The sequence below is a fragment of the Homo sapiens genome, chromosome 12 (assembly GCF_000001405.40).
Source record: "Homo sapiens chromosome 12, GRCh38.p14 Primary Assembly".
NCBI lineage: Eukaryota > Metazoa > Chordata > Mammalia > Primates > Hominidae > Homo > Homo sapiens.
The window spans coordinates 30664351-30687884 of NC_000012.12; the positions used below are offsets into that span (position 1 = coordinate 30664351).

General features: G+C 35.6%; 1 protein-coding gene across 5 annotated transcripts in view; it reads right to left on the reverse strand.

The window, feature by feature from the left end:
- The window catches only part of IPO8 (importin 8), a 66882-nt gene that overhangs the window by 35363 nt on the left and 7985 nt on the right, over nucleotides 1-23534 (reverse strand). For 3 of the 5 annotated variants that reach the window (NM_006390.4, XM_017018691.3, XM_017018693.3), the window contains exons 3-13: nucleotides 19951-20107; nucleotides 17309-17467; nucleotides 16132-16288; nucleotides 12148-12237; nucleotides 10309-10403; nucleotides 9640-9724; nucleotides 6612-6746; nucleotides 4833-4932; nucleotides 1825-1901; nucleotides 1379-1495; nucleotides 870-959 (exon numbers count right to left, since the gene is read on the reverse strand). In NM_006390.4, the coding sequence (NP_006381.2) occupies nucleotides 870-959; nucleotides 1379-1495; nucleotides 1825-1901; nucleotides 4833-4932; nucleotides 6612-6746; nucleotides 9640-9724; nucleotides 10309-10403; nucleotides 12148-12237; nucleotides 16132-16288; nucleotides 17309-17467; nucleotides 19951-20107 (1262 nt within the window). Of the gene's footprint in view, nucleotides 1-869; nucleotides 960-1378; nucleotides 1496-1824; nucleotides 1902-4832; nucleotides 4933-6611; nucleotides 6747-9639; nucleotides 9725-10308; nucleotides 10404-12147; nucleotides 12238-12545; nucleotides 12895-16131; nucleotides 16289-17308; nucleotides 17468-19950; nucleotides 20108-21449; nucleotides 21541-23534 lie in introns of those variants that run through there. The other 2 variants (XM_017018692.2, NM_001190995.2) reach the window with 2 other exon arrangements.

Genomic DNA, 23534 nt, shown 5'->3' on the forward strand with positions numbered 1-23534 from the left:
AAGGCATTGTTAATATATGTTGTTTTTAGCAAGACATTTTTGTGTTGATATATTTATAAAGAGAAATGCTAGGCTCTTGAATAAAAGTCCTGTTTCTATTTCTCCATAAAATATATTGATTCTAAAAGAATATACACATAGAGCACAATTTCACATGGATTATTAATCTCTCCATTTTACTAAGGCAAATCTACCTAATATACTGAAAATCAAATTCAAGTTCTTAGCCAATCTGGAATTTCATGTCATTTTATACACAAAATAAATCCATTTGTGAATTTAAATTGTATCACTGCTATAAAATCACCTTTCTCATTTCATGTTTTACATATGCAGCAAGTGAGGCTAGGGTGACAAATGAAATAAAACCAGCAGGAAATAAAATCCATAAATATTTTCCTTTTTTTTTGAGACAGGGTCTCACTGTTGTCCAGGCTGGAGTGCAGTGGCACGATCTCAGCTCACCGCAACCTCCGCCTCCCGGGTTCAAGCAATTCTCCTGGCTCAGCCTCCCTAGTAGCTGGGATAACAGGCGCCTGCCATGAAGCCCAGCTAATTTTTTGTATTTTTGTAGAGACAGGGTTTCACCATGTTGGCCAGGCTGGTCTCAAACTCCCGATCTCAAGTGATCCGCCCACCTCAGCCTCCCAAAGTGCTGGGATTACAGGCATGAGCCACTGCGCCCAGCCTATAAATCTTTTTCTTTAATAGTCTGTCCTTTATTCAGCTGATGTGACCATAGGCAGACATTCTAATTGACTCTATTTCATCTCAATATGTGGCAAAAGGTCAATTTATCCAAAAAACATTTATTTGAATAATTATCTTATGAAGATTTAAGATACATAACAGAAATATGAAAAACTTACTCTAGCTCGAAGATATCCCAGGTTAGACAATAATAATGGAAATACATGATTTTGTAGAAACAGCTCCATTTGGTCCTTGAATAAACTCTTCTATTAGGAAACAAATTTCAACTTATCAATTTCTTTTTCATACGTAAGAATCACTTCCTAATCAAGTGTGTTTACTATGACTTGCATTTAATATACTTCTAATTTTGTAAAATTATTTGACCTATATATTGCATGTTTTAAAACAAGACAAATATTACCTTATATCAGTTTGATATTGATTGATTTTGTAGACATAAGATACTTTGTATCCCTTTCACATATCAATAGTTTCATACTGAAAACTTTAAACAGTCAAATTTTCTTTTTAATTAAAGAAATAGATGACAGAAAGGAGGATAGTTGTGAACTCAATTATCCAGAGGTAGTCACCAGCTTTAAATTAGCCATAACTTTCATATTCTCTCATTTGCCTGTACTTTACAATGTTATTAAGTAAATTAAATTTTGATTATCTTAACCTTCAGTAAAATCTCAGCTAGGGAACCAATCACATGCAGGGCTCCATCTTTCTTCCTAGGGTCAAAGTTCGGGTCTGTCAGGATTTGATAACAGAATGCCATCATTTTTGGCAACACCTAAAGAAACAGAAGAATCCATTTAGTCTACATGAACTTTCATTGTCTTACTATAGTATTAACTATGATGCACAAATTTTTAAAAATAAAGCCATTTTATTATGTTTTATCAAGCAACTATAAGCTCAATAAGAAAAGTATAATTTATTAAGAAAACGAAATAACCATGATACCCCCTTTCCCCTCACCAGGAGAGGAAAAAAAAAATCCTTAAGGTGACAAATTATAACGAATAACAACATAATTTCTCAAATACTAGGGATATACTAGAGTATCAACTCAACACAGGCCACCTTTCAGTTTTGGATTTAAAAAGAAAAATGAAATACCTCTTTTCTTTTCTTTGCAGCAGTATATAAGAGAGTCTGGGCTGCTGTGGTGGGAGAAGCATAATCTTCAAAAATATCTAAGATTTTAAAAGGTTAAAACCATGTTAGTGAAAATATAATTACTTATTCTAGATTTTAAACCTGACTGACCGCTATTCCAAACCAAAAAAATAAAACCATCCACATATGACACTGCTTGACAGTACTAAAAAGGTAAGGATATACAGTGGCACCACAACATTGCTGTCTCCTGCACAAAACAATGTTCCTCAAACTCTACAGGTTGTCCTTTCAAACTATTATATTGAAGAAAACAATGCATTTACACATCTGTTTCACTGAGAACAGAAAAAGTGCTTTATTTCTATCAAAAAACAACAAAAATTCACTCAGCTCTTACTATGTGCCAGGTACCATTCTAGACCCCGGGGATACAAAGATCAAACAAAAAGGTTCTCACGGAGCTTATGTCGTGAAACAAAGAAACACATTATACATATATACACACATAATAAGTCAGGCTAAGAACAAATGTAAAATAGGGTAAAGAGACAGAGTGACAGAGTATGGGGTGCTAGTTTAAATAGGGTGTTAGCAAAAGCCTCTCCAACTCTGTTAAGGTAACATTTAAGCAGAAATTGAATGAAATGAGGGAGAAAGCAATCCATGGATAAAGTACTCCAAGCAGGTGAAACAGCAAGTATAAAAGCCTTGAAGGACTGCTAGGACCATGCCTGGCTCTGTCGATACGTAAGTTCAGCAGGTTTTGTTGAATATATACCTATCTAAAACTTAACATATCACTTAATACCATGAACATTTTCACAAGTTTCAGAATAGGCAGTTTTACATAAGAAACTGAAGTCTTGAGAGGTATCTGATAAGTCCTTGTTTAAATACAAAAGATAAAACCAAATCTAAGTCTACCTCAAAATATAAAATACAAACATAATAAGAACATTTTTGGAGTACTGTACTTACTCTGTGCCAAGCAGTATGCTACAGTTTTAGAAGCATCTTGTATTCTATGCTAAGCAGTTAGTTCATGTGTATTATCCCATTTAATCCTCCCAGCACTATTATCATCACCCGTTTGACAGCTGAAAGCACTGAATTTTAGAGAGGTTAAGTAACCTGTCCACAGTCACACAGCAGGTAAGTGACCAAACCAGCATTCACACCCACGCTATCTTAACATCAAAGCCTGAGCTCTTGTTAGTTCTTACCAAATCAAAAAACATTATTGGGGGAAGTGAGGAGATGTTGGTTAAAGAGTAGATAAAAAGAATAAACTAAAACATTATTATTAATCAGTCAATACATTTAGATAGGAATGCTTTGTTTCACGTAAATAATTGCAAGTGCCAAACATATAAAAAGAAAATGCAGTAATTGTTCTTCCCTATGGTTACCCAAAAGTAAAATACACATATCAAATAAAAGCCACTGCATTCCAGTCTACAGAAGGAAACGATTAAAGAAAACTCACTTCAGCTAGTCAGTCTTGAGTTACCCATATCCGCTTTTAAACAATAAAATGTAAATTCCCACTGTTAATCAACAGACATAGAGTTCTTATTTTCTAAAAACTAGGGTATGTATACCTATCTTATCAGATATGAAGAATATATAAATAATGGTAACTTTCTGAAAGCTAAACAAATACTCTGTACATCACAAAAACACATAGGTATTATGAAAGAAGTAAACACTAAAAGAATGCCTTGCAAGGCAAGAGGATCACTTAAGCCAGGAGTTCGAAACCAGCCTGGGAAATACAGGGAGACCCTGTCTCTGCAAAAAATAATTAGCCAGGTGTGGTGGCACATGCCTGTGGCCCCAACTACTTGGAGGCTGAGGTGGGAGAGTCACTGGAACAAAAAAAAGAGAGAGAGAGAGAGAGAGAAGAATGGTTGGCTAATCACTCAAAGCAAACTAGAAAAACAAAGGCATAAGAAAGGGGAAATAATAAGTTACACATATGAATAATGATTTTCAAAAGAAAAATAACAAATCAAGCAGATGATAAATGTTTCTCATTGATTTGCTTTTCTGATACTTTGTCTCCAAGAGAAAACAGGATCCTCACTTACTGAATCAAATAATATAAACACAAAGCTCTGTAAAAACACAGCCCAAAAAACTAGCATCTGTACCAGTAGGTTTAGCTTACGTAGCTAGACACACCTGGCTCAACTAAGGGGAAAGCACTGCTTCATTACAGCACTTTCAGCACGCAGCGCTAGATTTAGCAATCATTTCTTTCAACATGTATTGAAGGCATACTGGAGGCCAAGCACTAGTGGAGGAATGCAGAGGTGTAGAAGAGACAGAAAATGCAAAATTAAGCAAATAAGGTAAAATTCCTGTCCTGAGAAAGCTTCTAAGTTGTGGGAGATAGGTATGCAAATTAATATTTTGCTATGTTAAGTGCTTGAGTGTTCCATGAAGCAATTAATACAAACTGGGAATAAAAGGGAATAAATCAGGCCACCTACACAATTCAACAGTTTCCAGGAAGATCCAAGTTAAAAGGACACCCAAAGAATTGGACCACACACAGTAGGGCCCCCATACGAAATTTATTTCCCTTGTGGAACACTTAGTCTCTCAGACAAGCAAGCAAACCAAATTGGGGTACCCCTAAAATATGCAGAAATCCAAAGTATTTCCCACATGAGAACAACCCAATCTATAAATGAGTCTCCCAAAAGGCACAAAAACGGATGGTCCCTGCAGATCAGCATCGCAACAGCATAAGTAACAGATGGCTCAACTTGAGCACCCGTAAGAGAGATGAATGAGGTGGCTTTTCATCTCCCACATCCGACAATCTCCAGTTCTCTAGTTCAACAAAATAACATCAAACTCTCAAAGTTTCAGATTATGTCATGCAAAACAGAACCTGGGAGATTTAATAAAGTAATAACATTTGCTTAAAAATATAAATTTAGTTATATTACTTTACATATCCAGGAACTGATGAGAAATAAAACCATCTCAATTACCAAATTTCATCCTTATATACTCATATGGATCTTCTTGCCACAGCTCTTCATCCTCATCTTTATAACACATCACAGAAAAAATCACATCTTCAGAGATATTCTAAAATGAGAAAAAAAAAAAAACGTAACAAATGGGTATAGGCTATTCAAGTTTGAGGAATACTAATAATGTACTTGTTGACAGCCTTTATGATGTTAGTTTTCCAAACTCTGTGTGTGTGTAAAATGTCAAGTCGAGGTTATATTTACTATTATAGTTCTTATTTTGAAATTTTTTTTAACATTTCCATTTTAGTCCTAAATGTCCATGTATTAACAATATTAAAGGGCCAGGCATGGTGACTCATGTCTGTAATCCTACCTCTTTGGAAGCCCAAGGGCAGAAGGATCGCTTGAGGACAGGAGTTCAAGACCAGCCTGGGCACTGTAGCGAGACCCCATCTCCAAAAAAATACATAAAAACGTAGCCAAGCATGGTGGCGTCCATCTTGGAGGGTCTCTTGAGCCTAGGAGCTCAGGGCTGCAGTGAGCCATGATCATGCCACTGCAGTCCAGCCTGTGCAACAGAGTGAGACTCCAGCTCCAAAAAAAAAAAATTGGAATTTTCTTTACTTCTATTCCCAAAAAAACTAATTTCCTACTCCACAAATGTTTCAGTTAGAGAAAAGTCCTATCTACTAGCCTCTCTGTGCACTGCTACTAATGTCCTATTAAGCCCTTTTAGGCTCTAACAACAATTTATATAAAAACAGGATCATCTCTTACCACTTAATTCCAAATTAAATAATTCTAAGTGAAAAAATTCAGCCTAAGGATCAGCGTTTTCTTATTCCTACTTTACAGCTATGTAAAAATAAAGCCAAAGGTATGAAGTAGAGAAGAAATGTTATCACAACTCACCCTTACTTTACAGGAACACAGCAAATGAAATCAGTATCTTTATTAATTAATTGCAAAGAAATTATCACTATTTGATCAAAGTGATTAGGCAAATAGTTATTAAGATATCTACATAAATCAAAGAAAAGATATCTGTTGGTAAGACGGGTAATAACACTAAAATTCTATCCTGGACAGCAAACAGCAAAGTGAAAGATTTTTCTTTTCAGATATCATTTATAAAATTTAAGAATTCACAGTTTGGGAGAGAGTAGGTATTCAGTTCCTAAGACTGTCAAATTATCCAATTATTTGTATACAAGGAAGTATTTATTTATTAGTGGCCTATAATTTTCCATTCCCATTTGTTCTTTAGCTAAATAACAATACTGAATTCTACCTTTAGGCAAACGATATAGAAACAATGATGCTATTGAACTTAACAATCCAAGAAAATAAATAAAAACCTTGCTCATACCTACAAAATAAAACGGTCACATATCAGTCTTCAATTCCTGCAAAATAACACTACCTTAGTAGAGCCCTGGTAAGTTTTCAAAATACTTTCTCACAAAATACCTCATTTAATCCTAGCAACTTTTAGATAAGAATAGAAAAACACTATGTGCCTTAATAGAGGAGAAAATGAGGCTTAATGAGATTAAGCAAGATCAAGTGAATCCAGGTCTCCCGACTCATAAAACTTGAAGGCTTCACTTTTCTCAAATGCTTAAATTTCTAAGCCCTTTATATCTGACATAGGACTTCACTCATTAGAAATTATTAATGGTAAAATGTATATATATAAAATGTAAAATATAGGATTAGTAATACTAACTTTGTCTAGAAAACCTAATTTAACCAGAGAATAATTTTGGAGAGCTGCTCTCTGACACTAACCTGTATGTGTGGCTTCATCTGCTTCCAGGTTATAGAATGAACCACCCCTTGGTTGAGATAGTTGAATGCTTGCTGAAGAACACGGGGAGCTACATATTCTTTCTGTCTATATTGATCTAAAATTTTTAGTAGCACCTATAAGAAAACAGAAAATACAGACTAACATAAACAATTATAAGGTTAAAAGGGGGAGGTGCCATTTTTGGCATGACCTAAAATTCAGAATCCATAGAAAAATAAACAGATTTGGGAGAAAAATCAATGTTTTGTAAGAAAGCTCAGATAAACAGCTTTAATTATTAGATAGGTCCATGTTATATTGAACTAAACGGTGTCTCATTGTAACTTCCAGGCAAAGTCTAAATTTCTATTCCACTGCTAGCTCTTCAAAGTAAGTTAAAACTCCTGTTTAAAAAATTACAATAACAGGAGCCGGGCACGGTGGCTCAAGCCTGTAATCCCAGCACTTTGGGAGGCCGAGGCGGGCGGATCACGAGGTCAGGAGAACGAGAGCATCCTGGCTAACACGGTGAAACCCCGTCTCTACTGAAAACACAAAAAAATTAGCCGGGCGTGGTGGCGGGTGCCTGTAGTCCCAGCTACTGGGGAGGCTGAGGCAGGAGAATGGCATGAACCCCGGAGGCGGAGCTTGCAGTGAGCCGAGATCGCGCCACTGCACTCCAGCCCTGGGTGATAGAGCGAGACTCTGCCTCAAAAAAAAAAAAAAAAAAAAAAAAAAATTACAATAACAGATCTGACTAAAGAAACATTAAAAACTTCCATACAACAAGAGACAGCACAAAGATGTTTCTTTATTTCATAAAGACTTCTTCAAATTAGAAGAGAAAAGTTGTTCAAAAAATAGTATTGGCATAACTGATTAGCCCCCTGAAAAAATTTAAATTAACTCCCTCAACTTCACACCAAAATAAACTTCAGATGGGGAACTATTTTAACACTGACAAAAAATGATAGCACAGGATTCCTTAAAGAAAACATGGGAGAATTTTCTTTTATAATCTCAGATTATAAAAGAAGGTATTTGTAAACACAACACAACTGAGAAGTTATTTTTTAAAAACTGATTTTTTAAAAACTGATTTAAAAAATTATTTATAAGGAAAAAGCCATGCCAAAGCACCTCTGAACTGGCTCAAGGACCTTTAGGCAACTTTCTTCACTACAGTAAGTTGCCTTCCAATTCCTGGTCTCCAGAGCTCTTCACCATATCAAGCTTATAAGTGAGTTGCTGAATAAATAAAAAGCATTCTTTCAAAATAGGTACAGAAATTATAAATTCAGAATATGGATTTTATTCAAGTTTCCTAAAACTCAGGTTTACCAAATTTGTCGGAAGTCCTGTCATCATGTAGAAACCCCTTCTGTGATGCAAGCTAGAAATGGATGATACTGAACATGATTCTTTCTAATACAGATGTGGCTCATACAAAGTAGGGGTGATGGGAGATGGGAAATGGGAGATTCTCTCCCTACACAACAGTGGGGGAGAGAAGAGTCCCTGATAAGAAAACCATTTTTAAGTATCAGGAATATATCCTTAAATAACCATGGTACCAAGAGTTTATAACACGGATATAATGGCATTTTTATATGTGTATACATGTATACACACACATACATGTTTATGACACTGAAAAAACAATTGACTCACCACACTTCAAGTGGGAATTAACTTTAAGATACTTTAAGGAGTTTAACATTAGTGGACAGCACTGGGAGGGGCAGAAGACAGATGACCAGCTTCCTGATTGTCCTGGTTTTATTCACTAATTTTCCCTATAGATTGTCTCACCAGCCAACAAAATAACTTGTGAGAAATTCAACTATATAACTACAACTTTCCTGAACTGTTGCATTGTACTTTTTAGAAAGCATTCTACTAGGCAAAATGATAACACATAAACGGAAGTATTCCATCTCAAGACAACAGGTTCTAAGTACTTAACATTATAATGCTGACAATAAAGAGCTATTTAAAAAAAAAAAATCTAGAGCCGGGCACGGTGATTCACACCTGTAATCCCAGCACTTTGGGAATCCAAGTTGGGTGGATCACTTGAGATCACGAGTTCAAGATCAGCCTGGCCAACATGGTGAAACCCCACCTCTACCCAAAAATATAAAAAATTAGCCAGGTGTGGTGATGTGTGCCTTTAATCTCAGCTACTTGGGAGGCTGAGGCAGGAGAATTGCTTGAACCCAGGAGGCAGAGGTTGCAGTGAGCCGAGATTGTGCCACTGCACTCCAGCCTGGGCAACAGAGTGAGACTCCATCTCAAAAAAAAAATCTAGAAACACCTTCTATGTCAGTAAAGCTTTTCCCTATGTCTAATTAGTCTTTGCTTCCTCAATATGGTCCTGACACAGCCAGTGGTCAATAATTAATAAATTTTATTGAAACATAAAAATATGATTTAAATGGCAACACTGATCAACCAATTTTCATGGACCACTTGTCCTTTGTAGCTTTTAAAATTTTTAAACATTATGTCAACTTGGATTGTTTCAGGAACTAATTTTCACTATATAGAATGGTCCCCAAACTTCCATAGAAATGTTTAAGTTCTCAGCTAAGAGTCTTGACGTCTAGTAAGCTCAACTACTCTTCATACAGACCAATTCATATTATATAAGTCTTCTAAAATAAAAACTTACAACAAAGAGGTGAAGAAATAAAGATCAAAAAACTCATAAGAGGTCAGAGAATTAATAGAAGAACCCAATCTAATACTGGTGACTGCTACACCACTATCAACTTAAAAGGTTTGAGTCCAGAGTCTAGGATTCAGTTCTGGTGGTGGCTGTCTCGGGACATTTGGTTCTAAAACTAATTGCACTGGAAACTTGGTTTTAAAACTAATTGCACTGTAATACATTCCCAGAACTGTCCTTCCATCCTCTATAAATATGTAATGAATTAGTATGTTTGTAACCTACTTCCAGTAGACAGAAATGCCTTTACTTTCAGTAGTAACCATTATTCTATTTTAAAAGCATAAGTTTATTACCTGCTGAATGCCCACTGCATAGGTTTTCAAAAAGAATTCAGAAAATTCAAAGTATTCTTTTGTGACATTTCCTGGGCTTCCATATCTTAAAATACAAAGAGAAAATGTACAAATACCGTGAATTTTACAAACAGCATGCTTGCTAATAATTTAAATATAGTCGCTTATTCAAAGATGGATTCTACTGGGACAGAAAACTAACACTGCCTTTTTTTCCCACAAGCCACAAAATGAAATCAAGATAACCTGTACTTAGACTATGGGCCATACTGTAAAGTTTCAGACAGAAGCTTTCACTTGCTAAACCAAGAGCTCCTAAAGGGTGAATATTGGAAATTAAAATGTTACAACTGACATAGATTTTTTTCAATAAATGCTTTTAAAATTAAATTTGACATTATTACGGAGTTGAGTGACCATGCAACTTCTTGCATAATTCTTAGATATTACCAATGGGCTGAACAATGTTATTTTTCCAAGTTTTTCACAGAAGAATAGAAAAGATCCAGAGAAGACCACCCACTTCATTATGATCTCAAAGCCAATGATTAAAATTAAGCTACTTTAAACAGAGTGACTCTTGGCTCTCGGTGGCTCTAAAGACAGATAATCATATCTGATACTGAGATACTGGCTGTATGATCATCAATGTAATAAACAGATAATTACCGTTCAAAGAGCCGAGCTACAATATGCAGTGCCCACTTCTTACACTTCCACCATACCAGTTCTGGTCTATCATCCTCATCAATGTGCAGAGTCTCCTAACAGGACAAAATTACCCAGATTAAAGTTCTGCATAATAAAAGGATTTATGTGAATAACAAAGGCAAGATAAATCTTGATATAGGTTAAGTCATATTAAATGTGAAGTTAGATTGCTATACAAATGAAAATTCTTTATAGATTGCTAGGCAGGAATTAAATAAGCAAAGTAAATTTCAACTAAACAATGCTGCTGTTCACATTTACCTCCTGTCTTCAAAAGGCCTAAATAAGTAGAGGACAAAATACAAAACACCATGGTTCCTTCAGGACACTCTGAGATGATGAAAGGGTTCTACATTTTTATCTGGGTGATAACACAAGTGTATGTCAAAATTCACTGAACTAGTCATTAAGTTCTGTGCATTTATGTATGTAAGCTAAATGTCAAAATACTTTGTCTCACGATATGGACAAGAGAAATAATACTGCACATTTTAAGACAAACTAAAATTTTAATAGATACAAGAACTAATGTGATAAATTAAAGATAGTATTATTGCAGATCAAAATGAAACACATCTTTTCCCTATCAAATGGACAAACTTAGAATTAAGTGTGTACCCATAACAGGCATTCTCAGTCACTGCTTATTAAAGTGTAACTGAGGGCACACTTTATTGCAGAGCACTCTGCAAGATTAGTGAAAAGCCTTCCATGTTTCTAGTTTATCCAAAGAAAATAATCATATATGTGCACAAAAATTTAAGTACATTCTTAAGAGTTAAAACACTAAAAAATTAAAGCCTAAACATCCAGCAAGTAAAACATTCAACAAAAATGACAGTATAGGCCAGGCGCGGTGGCTCACGCCTGTAATCCCAGCACTTTGGGAGGCCGAGGTGGGTGGATCACGAGGTCAGGAGATCGAGACCATCCTGGCCAACACCGTGAAACCCTGTCTCTACTAAAAAAAAAAACAAAAAAAACAAAAAAAAAATTAGCCGGGCGTGGTGGCGAGCACCTGTAGTCCCAGCTACTCAGGAGGCTGAGGCAGGAGGATGGTGTGAACCCGGGAGGCGGAGCTTGCAGTGAGCCAAGATCATGCCACTGCACTCCAGCCTGGGTGACAGAAGGAGACTCTGTCTCAAAAAAAAAAAAAAGGAAAAGAAAAGAAAAAAAGACAGTATAAAAGCATTCATAATCATAAAAATATTTGTAAGTTTTAAGTGAAAACTGAATTTCAAAATATTATCAATACGTTTTTTTTCTTTTTTGAGATAGGGTCTTGCTCTGTCCCCCAAGCATAGTTTGCTGCAGCCTCAAACTACCAGTGATCCCCCCACCTCAGCTTCCCAAGTAGCTGGCACATGCTACCACATCTAGCTATTTTTCTTTTTTCTTTACATTTTGTAGAGTCAAGGTCCCACTATGTTGCATAGATTGGTCTTGAACTCCTGGCCTCAAGTGATCCTCCCAGCTTGGCCTCCCAAAGTGCTAGGATTACATGTGTGAGACACCATGCCCAGCCAACGTATACTACTTTTATAAATTAAATATGTTGTATATAGATGCAGAGGAAAAAAAGACTAAAGAAATAAAGTTTTAAAAACAGTTTTCATTTTTGGTAGGATTTAAATTGCTTATCTAAGCTTTCTAAAAATGGTATTATGAATTATTTTATTAATTTATTTTATTAAAGTAGTAAATTTTTTCAAAGAGCAGTCAGGGATAATGCATCAGTCTACCGCAAACATTCCAAACCCGTTTCCCCTATTTTTCTTGGGAAAAGCTTTTTCTTACAGGAGGAACGGTCCTGTCGATAATAGTTCGGAAGATCTCCATCCATGTTGTCATGGTTTGGTTATTCACTAGCTGAAGAGGCAATGCATACTGGAAAAGAGAAGAACAACATGAACAGTAATTCCTCCCATCCAAAAAAATCAGCAATTTTATCTATATTGTAAGGCTAAAATATATGAAAGGGCTAACATTTGAGAATGAAAATAGCAATCTTGTATGGTTCAACCTAACTTAAAACAGATTCATACGACCATATAGAACTTAAATTTTTAAATTTAGAAGACTACCTGCCATGAGTTGTTTCTTGGGTCTACTTTTTAAAAGGAAAAACAAATGAATACCACTGAGGTCTCATTTATTCAGCATGAGATTCTAAGTGAGTGATTTTTATGACTTACCCCTTTGAGGGTCAAACTTTCCATTTTAACCACCTTGATGAAAATATTTATTTCATTAAACACTCATGAAACATTTTTTTAAATTACTTTCCTCTACACTGTAGCATAATAACTACAGTCCACTTTGTACTAAACAGATATATGGCTCACCTCTGCTGTACTGTGAGTTGCAGAAGACGGATATTGCCTCCACATCCATTCAGTACAAAACATGCTACATGCTACAGACATAATAAGATAGACAATCTTTGCCCTCACGAAGCTTACACTCTAACTGGAAAAAATGTATATAAAGTCATGCACCACATAACAAATGTTTCGGTCAGTGACAGACTGCATATACAACAATGGTCCCATAAGATTAGAACACAGCTGAAAGATTCTTATCGCCTAGTGACATAGTAACCATCTTAAAGTCACAGCACAATGCATTACTCAAATATTTGTGGTGATGCTGGTGCAAACAAACCTACTGAATTGCCAGCTGTATAAAGTATAGCAATTTTATACAGTACGTAACTGGTAATGACAACTATGCTACTAGTTTATATTTTTACTACACAATACTTTTCATCATTAGAGTGTACTCCTTCTACTTTTTTTTTTAAGTTATCTAAAACAGCCTCTGGTAGGTCTTTCAGGAGTATTCCAGAAGGCATTGTTATCATAGATGACAGCTCCATGCATGTTATTGCCCCTGAAATGAAGACACTCCAGCAGGACAGAATACAGAAGTGGAAGACAGTGATATTGATGATCCTGACCCTGCATAGGCCTAGGCTAATGTGTGTGTGTCTTAGTTTTTAATGAAAAAGTTTGAAAAAAAATAAAATTCTAAAATATAAAACCTTTTAAAATATGGATATAAAGAAAATATTATTGTACAGTTGTACAACATGTTAATATTTTAAACTAAGTGTTAGTACAACAGAGTCAAAAAGTTAAAAATTTTAAAGTTTGGCCAGGCGTGGTGGCTCACGCCTGTAATCTCAGCACTTTGGGAGGCCAAGGCAGGCGGAACATGAGGTCAGGAGTTTGAGACCAGCCTGGCCAAAACAGTGAAACCCCGTCTCTACTAAGAATACAAAAAATTAGCCAGGCATGGTGGCAGGCGCCTGTAAATCGAGGCTGAGGCAGGAGAACTGCTTGAACCCGGGAGGCGGAGGTGGCAGTGAGCCGAGATTGTGCCACTGCACTCCAGCCCGGGCGACAGAGGGAGACTCCATCTCAAAAAAAAAAAAAAAAAAATTTAAAGTTTATGAAGTAAAAAAGTTACAGTAAGCTAAGCTAGGGTTAATTTATTATTGCAGATAAATTTTATAAATTTAGTGTAGCCTAAATGTTCAACATTTATAAGCATAGACTAACGTCCTAGGCCTTCACATTCACTCACTACTACCTCACCCACAGCAACTTCCAGTCCTGCAAGTTCCATTCATGGTAAGTACCCTATACAGGAGTGCTTTTTAAAAAATATCTTATACTGCATTTTTAGCATATCTTTTCTATTACTTACCATTGAGTTACAGCTGCTTTCAGTATTTGGTACAGTAACATGTACAGGTTTGCAGCCAGGGAGCAACACACAGCCTAGGTATGTAGTAGGCTATAGCATCTAGGTTTGTGTAAGTACACTCTACAATGTTCACAGAGGGACAAAAATTACTTAACAATGCATTTTCTCAGAATGCATCCCCAAAGTTAAGTAACACATGACTGTACATGTACAAAGGTAGGAATAAGAGAAGAAGGTGAGGAGATGAAGGGCTTTATGGGCTATATTAAGAAGTTTCAAATGCACTTTATTCTAAGTGCATTTGGAAGCCATTTGGATTTGATATAGGGAACAGAGGAGAAGTAGGCTGAGGGTTAGGCTGAGCTTATGTATAGAATATCCAAGTGTCCTGTACAAATATTATGCTACTTAGACAAGATCTGTTGTATCATACTTTTATTTTATTTGAGGCGGAGTCTCGCTCTGTCACCCAGGCTGCAGTGCAATGGTGCAATCTCAGATCACTGCAACCTCCGCCTCCTGGGTTTGAGCAATTCTCTCACCTCAGCCTCTGGAATAGCTGGAATTAGAGGCACCCGCCATCATTTCTGGCTAATTTTTGTATTTTTCTAGAGATGGGGTTTCACCATGTTGGCCAGGCTGGTCTTGAACTCCAGACCTCAGGTGACCCACCCACCTTGGCCTCCCAACGTGCTGGGATTACAGACCTGACCCACTGCACCCGGCTGCTCATACTTTTAAAAACAAAATTGTCTGCTCCTTCTCATATTATCGCTTTTTACTTATGTCAGCATTGTAATAGTGGCTCCTAATGCCTTCTAAATTTCTACTTCCCAGAGGAGAATATTAATGTATTAGTACATAACAGATTACCAAAATGGTTAAAAATGTTGAGGTTTTCCAGGTTTTTAGCAAGTATAGACTGAGAAAAATATGAAGATTCTGTCGTCTTAGCAAACCAATTAGAGGTAGAGGCTTTAGAAAAATTATTTCATTAGCCTTTGTCTTACTTCCCAATTTCTAGCTGTTTCTGCCAATAGAAAAAGGAAGTCTGGCCTCTGAATATTATTTCAAAACAAGTGAGAGAACATATTTTCCTAGTATTCTAGTTTCTTCTCTTCTCACATTTGCCTCCTTCCCTCTTCTCTTTCCCTGCAAAAAGGCTGCTCTGGGGGAAAAAAAAAAATATCTGCCTCAGACTATCCCTATTAAAAGTTTAAAAGGGGAAGCTTTAATAAAAATATAAATCTTTATTAAAGTAAAATATTTTGAAATAGTTTAAGTATCTAAGTCAATAAAAAGCCAAGGATGGATCCAAACTATCATGGTTTTTGAGCTCAACAAAACCATCCTCTTCTCACGACAAATTCAACTAGAAAGCATGTAATAGAGTTTAATTCATTCATCAAACAGTTAAGACTGAAAACAATTATTCTTCCTCCAATCAGACCTAAATAATTTACCCAAATCTTTCAAGGATTTGATGTTAAATATTTTTATATTTCAAACATATTCCATCTCTATCTTCTCATTTCTTTCCGGATTCCCATGTTGGTATCCCTTATAGCATTCAGATTTTTTTTTTTTAGGCAGTATTTTAAACCAAGGAAAATGAACCCTAAATCCTCTGTTAGCTTTGAGTCAAATGCAAAGAAACTACCATCAATATGATTTCCCAATAGAAGAGGGACTCCCTTCTTCTTTTCCTTCTTCTTTTCCTTCTTCTTTTCCTTCTTCTTCTCTTGTAATCATAACTAATCTATAGGCAGGAATGCTACAGAACAGATAGTTGCGAGTAATCAGGTTTTAGAGCAGGTAGGTTTACCTACCCTGGTTCTGCTTTACCCATGATTTCAGACACTGGAGTGAAAAGCACTTAGGGGCAGATATGCCATTGAGACGATCTTGGGTAATTAATTTCTGTGAACCTGTTCCTCATAAGCATTTTTTAAAGAAATATATGGGATAATACAAAATAATTTTTAATAATAAGTGACACTTATTGAGCACTTTCCATGTGTCAGGCAGAAATACAGGACTCCATGTTTGTTTTCTGCAATAGAAACCTACCTGAACAAGTGCATAAAAGATTTTCAGAATTTGTTTCTGCAGTAATACAGAATAATAGGAGGAATCAGGAAGGAGCTGAACAATTTGTTGCTGAATACGAGGCAGGAATATCTGCATTGCTATTATAAGAGGTTCTCTCTCTTCTGCTTTCTTATATCTACATGAGCAAAGACAAAAACAGAAAAGTAATTTTTCCCACCCAAAGAACCATCAACAATAAATTATAAAATATTTTTTAAATACATAAAACTAACAAAACAAAGTCATTAACATTGGCTTCTAGTTTGTTTGAATTGCTAGAATTAAGTTGAAAAGAAATTTAAAATAACACATCCTGTTTTAGGCACAACACCTAAAATCTTTCTGGAAAGATTTAGACTAGTTTAAAACAACCCGAGACCATTTTGCAGTTTTCCTACATGAATGTTTCTAGTATTTAAATTAATTTTCATCCAGCCAAAATTCTTACTATAAAATATAAGTTGCTATGCTATTTTAAATAGACTATATAACAAATAATATGGGGGGAATTTTCTTATTATATTTCTCCCTGAATTGAGTAGTTAAAATAGTTTAAAATTTAGGTGCTCTTAGATTGCTTTAATTGCCATAAATCTAAAATATGTTCTATAAATTTCATAAGCAGAGTAGGAACTAGTCAGTTTAAAAGGAGAACTACAGGACTTCATATACACATGTAGCAATCTTCCTAGAAACCAGAAAGCAATACTATTAAGTGTGATATTAGTCCTCTACCTACCCAAGCTACTTTTATGGAAAAGAATGTCATTAGCAAAGAAACGTTAACATTTTCTATCTTGCATCCAAAAAAGTAAATGTTTTGGTTTACTTAATATACTCCCTAGAAGACAAATATAAAGGTATCTCTATATCAGAGTTTCCAAGGAAAGCTGTTAATAAATGGTACTGTGCAACTAACAAGTTTGAGAAGTGCTTCATATTATATCACTGTCTCAGAGGTTAGCAATATCCATCAGCACATTAAAGTTTCTTTCAATAACTGCAGCAAATAAACACATTTAAGCATGTTTAACCCAACATTTCCCAAACTAATCTGATAACCTGTGCAGAACATCCACAACAGACCACTCTTTGCAACTTCATTATTTCTAAGTTACACAAGGCTGCTTTCTTCAGCCAATGGAAACCAACTTACTCATATGTCTTCACCAGTTGATACAGGCATAATAAACTGCCAAGCCAGCTTGCACTGCTCTGTGATTGCAAGTAATAGTCTATCTTGTCGACCACTCCTGGCCAGTGACCAGGAAAATCATGTTTTATGATGGCACGGAGACACATTGTTAATTGGACTCTACAAAGTAGGGAAGAAAAGTCCAAAATCTAAGTAATTATAAATACTGTGTTTCAAAGACCTCTAATATTTTACATAAAAGTTTGTTATCTTCTATTTACGTGTATTATATACTTACATATGTGGGGTAGGGGAAAAAGACATATCTAAAAAACATCCTCAGTGGCTCAACTTGTTGAAAATAAACAGAATGGGTGAGTTTCTAAAATGAATGAAACCTTTCAAACTATCTTATCCTAAATACAGTTTAAAAAAATTGTTTTAAATAGTTTAAAATTTTCAAAAAACTCCAATGAATCTACCTCCACTCTGTAAAATTTCCAGCTTATTATATCTCATATTTTGGTTACCATATCCTGAATGGGGGAAAAAATAACACTTCAAACAGATAAACCTAGTCTAAAGATGGTACAAGTAAGTACAAAGAAGGCCTACATAATGGTGGGAAGCTTCTCTATGGGCCAAAACCTTGAACTCATCCATTATCAATTAAAACCCAACATCGTATGTTGAATCTATCCAAAGCAGTCTGAGATACTAATTTTTGTACCCCAAGTATAAGAAAGAAACATGTATTATTAGCGAGGCAATTCCTGAAGAGGAGAGCTAAGAGCTATTTCCAAAGAAATAAATGAAAAAGGCAACAGAAGAGACATAAAACAGAAAAAGAAAATATTCCTTTAATAAAACCACAAAGTTAAATGCTAAAATAAGTTATCTGATAACATAGATAAGTAATCATTTCCTCAATGAGATTTCAACTTTAACTGGAACTGAAAAGAAAATAGGGGGAAAAATTTCTTTTCTATAAACTATCAATTCAATGTTATCACCAAATATGACCTTACATGACATTTTCAAATGGTTAGAAAACAAACTTGGCAAAATTAGGATTCCACAGGGCAACTAAAAAAAAAATAAAGCATTTTCAGTTGAACAACCAGTAACTCAGATTCACTTAAACTGGTAAAATTAAACAAAATGATGCCTTTTCTTCACGTTATCAAATCTATTTGAAAAATCCCTTTGTAATACTCTTAAACTTTGAGAATAGGTGGAAGAAATTTCAACAATGATTATAATTAAGCCTTAAGGACATAAAAGGAGCAAAGCCACAGAGAACCGTCCCGTAATAAAGATAAAAGATCTCCTTTAGTGCCAGTAGTAGCTGCTCCTTTAAACAATAAATGTCATATTTGTAAAAAATAAAACTGAAGCTTTTCATTTTTTAAAATTTCATCTTCAGGTTGATTCTCCCAGTCCTTTCTCATTCCAAGCAAAGGATGGTTATGAAAGGCCATCCTTCATGCATTACTGTGTAGAACCACTCGAAGATTAAGGGAGATCTGAAAATTTAAGATTTTGAAAATAAATGGATACATGATGGTACCACAGGGGTATCAGTCCCATGACTGGCATTTGGGCAACCAATAAGAATAATAGTGATTTTTTCTTTTTAACCAGTACACCTATTTTCTCCTCTTAACAAATTAATTGCTCTAAGAGTTCAATGTTTGTTCTCCTTCCTGTTACCCGTCGTACTTCCTTCCTTTTCCACTGCTTATGTCATGATGGCTATTAGATACTAAGGGCTAACGTTATATTCAACCTCTTGATATTAAAAAATTTCATTCCTCTACCTCTGTTTTCACCTATTTGTCCCTCCCATTTTCAAAAGATACCTAATTACTATCTTGTATGTTGAAAAGAATTTGTTTCTCCTATTTTAAGATTGCAAAATTTTTATGACTTTACAGCTGCTCTGTCCAATAGAGCAGCTGCTAGTTAAATATGCACACTTTAAATGAATCAAAAGTAAATAGAATTAAAAATTCAGTTCCTCAGTTACAACTAGCAACATTTCAAGTGCTCAACAGTCATTGATGCCTTGTGGCTAATATTAGATAGCACTGACACAGAACACTGTCACTGCAGAAAGTTCTGAGGGACACTACTGCTCTACAGCATCTAATCTATGACTGTAAAAAACTGGAGACAGTTCTTCTAGTTTATACCTACTCTATCCTGTCTTCTCTGAAGGAAAACATGCTCAATTCATAAATGTGAATAAAAATACAGGGAAAGATTAAGACAGGTAGTAGGTAAAAATTCCCAGAATCAGTCTCTCTGTATCAAAGAAAAGAAAAGCAGGTAGTAAAAAAACTCAAGAGATCATTACTAAGAATAAAGGTCATTTAAGTAGCAAGACTTACACAATTGTTTTGGTTAAGTATCATTTTTTTTAAATCTTACCTCTTTTTGTGGCAACATACGACAACAAAATCTTTTCCAAAATATCTTGAGGCAAAGAATTACAAATGCAAAGACCACTAAGTAAAATAATATTCTTTGAGTGTCCCTCTTTATTACTTTACCTCTTTAGAAAATGAAACATGAGGCCAAGGATTAGATCCAACAGCACCCACCCTCAGATCTAACCATTTCATGCTTTCTAGTAATCACAAATATATAGCACCACATACCTCACTAAATCTGGAGACCGAATTATTCCTTCCACAATGTTATCACGTATTTGCTGGCGATCGTTTTCGTGAATGTTGAATGGAAATATTGCTTCTCCTGGTGGAGGTTCTCGATCTGGCCAGTATTGTGTCACCATGTTCTTCAGGTAAATGGCAGCTGAGTTTGAGAAAAAATGCTAATGTAGCAGTACCAAAAAGGATGGCTTTAATTCAGCCTTACAGAGCATGAAAGTCCAAACCCTTCAATGTTAAACATGAAACCCAGCAAAAATGGATACTCTTACAGGTATAAACAGCCAAATCAGGAAGGGAAAGTGGATAAGAATTTAAAGGTTTCACTTCAGCTAGTCTAAGCAGAAAACATTTCATTAAGTCAAGACCCAGAGCTTACAGGACAGGAAAATTATCTAGAAATAATGCATAGTAAACATACTTTGAGATCATAAAATCATACTTTTCGCAATGCCTAATTCTGAGGTGACAACAGGTAAAGTTCTACTTTCCTTCATGAAGATGGCTTTTTTTGTTTTTTGTTTTCCCACTGGCTACTGTCAAACACTAGCATTTTGGGGTATCTCTTCTTTTTATAGTATTGGTAATTTTCATCCAACCTTTTTGAAATATGTACTACTTGTAAATATAATAGGGAAATGAACATCAGCCATCAAAAATTTTTGGAAAAAAGCTCAGAAAATTTTTATATGTTCACATCTATCAAAATACATAATCTGATTTTGTTCTGTTCTTTTTAATCGTCTTCAACCTTTAACAAAAGGCTTCTGAAAGAAACAGGCTGACATATTGCTACAGCATTTTAAGAAAGAATGTGAAGCTTTTCTTTTCTTTTTTTTTTTTTTGAGACGGAATCTTTCTCTGTCATCCAGGCTAGAGTGCAGTGGCAAGATCTTGGCTCACTGCAACCTCTGTCTCCCGGGTTCAAACGATTATCCTGCCTCAGCCTCCCAAATACCTGGGATTACAGGCATGTGCCACCACACCCAGCTAATTTTTGTATTTTTAGTTAGACAAGATTTCACCATGTTGGCCAGGTTGGTCTCGAACACCTGACCTCAGGTGATCTGCCTGCCTCGGCCTCCCAAAGTGCTAGGATTACAGGTGTGAGCCACTGCACCTGGCCAGAATGTAAAGCTTTCTAACCATCCCAGTTGAACAGTGAATGTAAGTAAATACTTATAATGTTGTGTGTGTGTGTGTGTGTGTGTGTGTGTAAAGAATACAGATACGTGATTTGCAAAGCAGCATAACTTTCTTCCCTTAAGCTTCTCTTCTTTCCCCACCCAACTCTTTCTTCACCCAACTTTTAACATATAACTAAATTCATGACCCGGAGCAGTGACTCACACCTGTAATCCCAGCACTTTGGGAGGCCGAGGCGGGCGGATCACCTGAGGTCAGGAGTTCGAGACCACCCTGGCCAACATGGTGAAACCCCGTCTCTACTAAAAATACCAAAATTAGCCAAGCATGGTGGCAGGTACCTGTAATTCCAGCAAATTCCTTGAACCCAGGAGGCGGAGGTTGCAGTGAGCTGAGATCATGCCACAGCACTGCAGCCAGGGCAACAGAGCAAGACTCTGTCAAAAAAAAAAAAAAAAAAAACTAAATTGGGTAGTCAAAGCACTATACCATAAAGAATACACCAATACATTCTACATTAGCTAAAACTTAAAAGAAATTTAGTGAAATTATGAACTTGACATCTGGTAAGCTCCTCTTTCATTAGTTTTGAGTAGCTAAAGTTCTGAAAAACTGTTCCATCTATGATTTCAATTCATTTGGGTGAAAACAAAAATTATATAAAGGGGGATGTGTGTTAGAGTTTTCTTTTTTCCCTTACTTGTTTTTAATTCAGACCACACAAGCTCTAGACTAGGTACCATGTTTTATCGGGTATAGTCATTATATTATGTAACAGTGACTGGCAAAGAGTACACATTCCATAAAAATGTATAGACTATTCAAAAAATAATGAATGAATGATCTAAGGATATGAACCAACCTGTCAGCAGTTCAGACTGATTTCACAGGATTTAGGGGTTTTTTTGAGACAGGGTCTCACTCTATCGCCCAGGCTGGAGTCCAGGGGCACAATCACAGCTCACTGCAGCCTCCACCTCCAGGGCTTAGGTGATCCTCCCACCTCAGTCTCTCAAGTAGTTGGGAATACAGGCGTGCACCACCACGCCAGTTAATTTTTTTGTATTTTTGTAGAGACAGGGTTTCGCCATACTGCCCAGGCTGGTCTTGAACTCCTGGGCTCAAGTGATCCACCCACCTCAGCCTCCCAAAGTGCTGGGATTACAGGCATGAACACCCAGCCTGATTTCACAGGATCAATCTTTGCAAAAAGAAAAATCAACTATATTAGTCACAAAATCATTTTGATCCCTATAGAACTAGTCTTGAAAACAAAGAAAAGCAACCTTTAGACAGTAAAAATACAGACACGGTAAAATCATGGACTTATTTATGATTTAGTCATTAAATACTATTAATATTAATTTTATAAATGAAAAGTTATAATTTAAAAATTATGGTGCATCAAACGAGACAGCCTTTAAAAAAGGCACACTGACTAATTTGTATATGCCTAAATAAATGTACAATGAGGTAAAATAAAATTGAAAATATATTAAAAAGAAAATTTTAATTACTATGATGGATAATTATGGATTACTAAGGATAAAGGAAAAATACCAAAGATAACTGTTACCATATCAACCAATAATCTGAAAACTTCCCTTTAATCATTTAATTCAAGTGCCTAAATACAAACCATTTGCCAGAACTAAGAAACAAAGGACTAATATCATGTTAATCCAATTCATAAAGGAAATATTAAATTTACTGTATCTGTCTGGGTGTCTTAGAGCATCCTTGTATTTTAATAATAGATTAAATAGAGCAGAAAATCTACAAATGGCACTTAAATTTAGGATAGTTATAATGTAGAATTTTATAAATGTATTTCAGATTCTATGATAAAAATGGCTGCTCTAAGACAGTTTTCCTACAAAATCCACTCACCATTTTAAGCATCATAAGTTGAAATTAACTTTCTAAAAACACACACACACTTTTCTCCTTCAGCACAATGAATCATCACTTAAGCTCTGGACCCAGAGACACAACTACAGAATCAATTGGGTTTCATAACCTCAAAGTGGAGAAAGTACTGTTATCTCGGTGGGCAGAATGTCATGCTTTTGAGTTGATGTTTCTAAGTCTTGCTGTTTTTCATTGTAATTTTGTACCCCTTCTCTCCCTTATTACTCTGTGAAAGGCTAGATTAGACAACAAATGTGTCAATTCTATCAAAACAATATTAAATAGATTCTGAGCACAAGCCACAAAGCTTTCTACAAATAAAATGCATGAATGTTAATAAAAGCTTCTTAAAGTGCTTCTGGACTGATCAGAGGCATCTTTCTGTTTATTTCTAGGTTCTGCACTCTGCAATGCTGACGTCAATCTTAACAAATAACCTCTAAACAAATAACCACAGAATGAATTGTTATATCTTCTCCCTGTCCATCCTTTGGAAATACAAACAAAAAGAAACA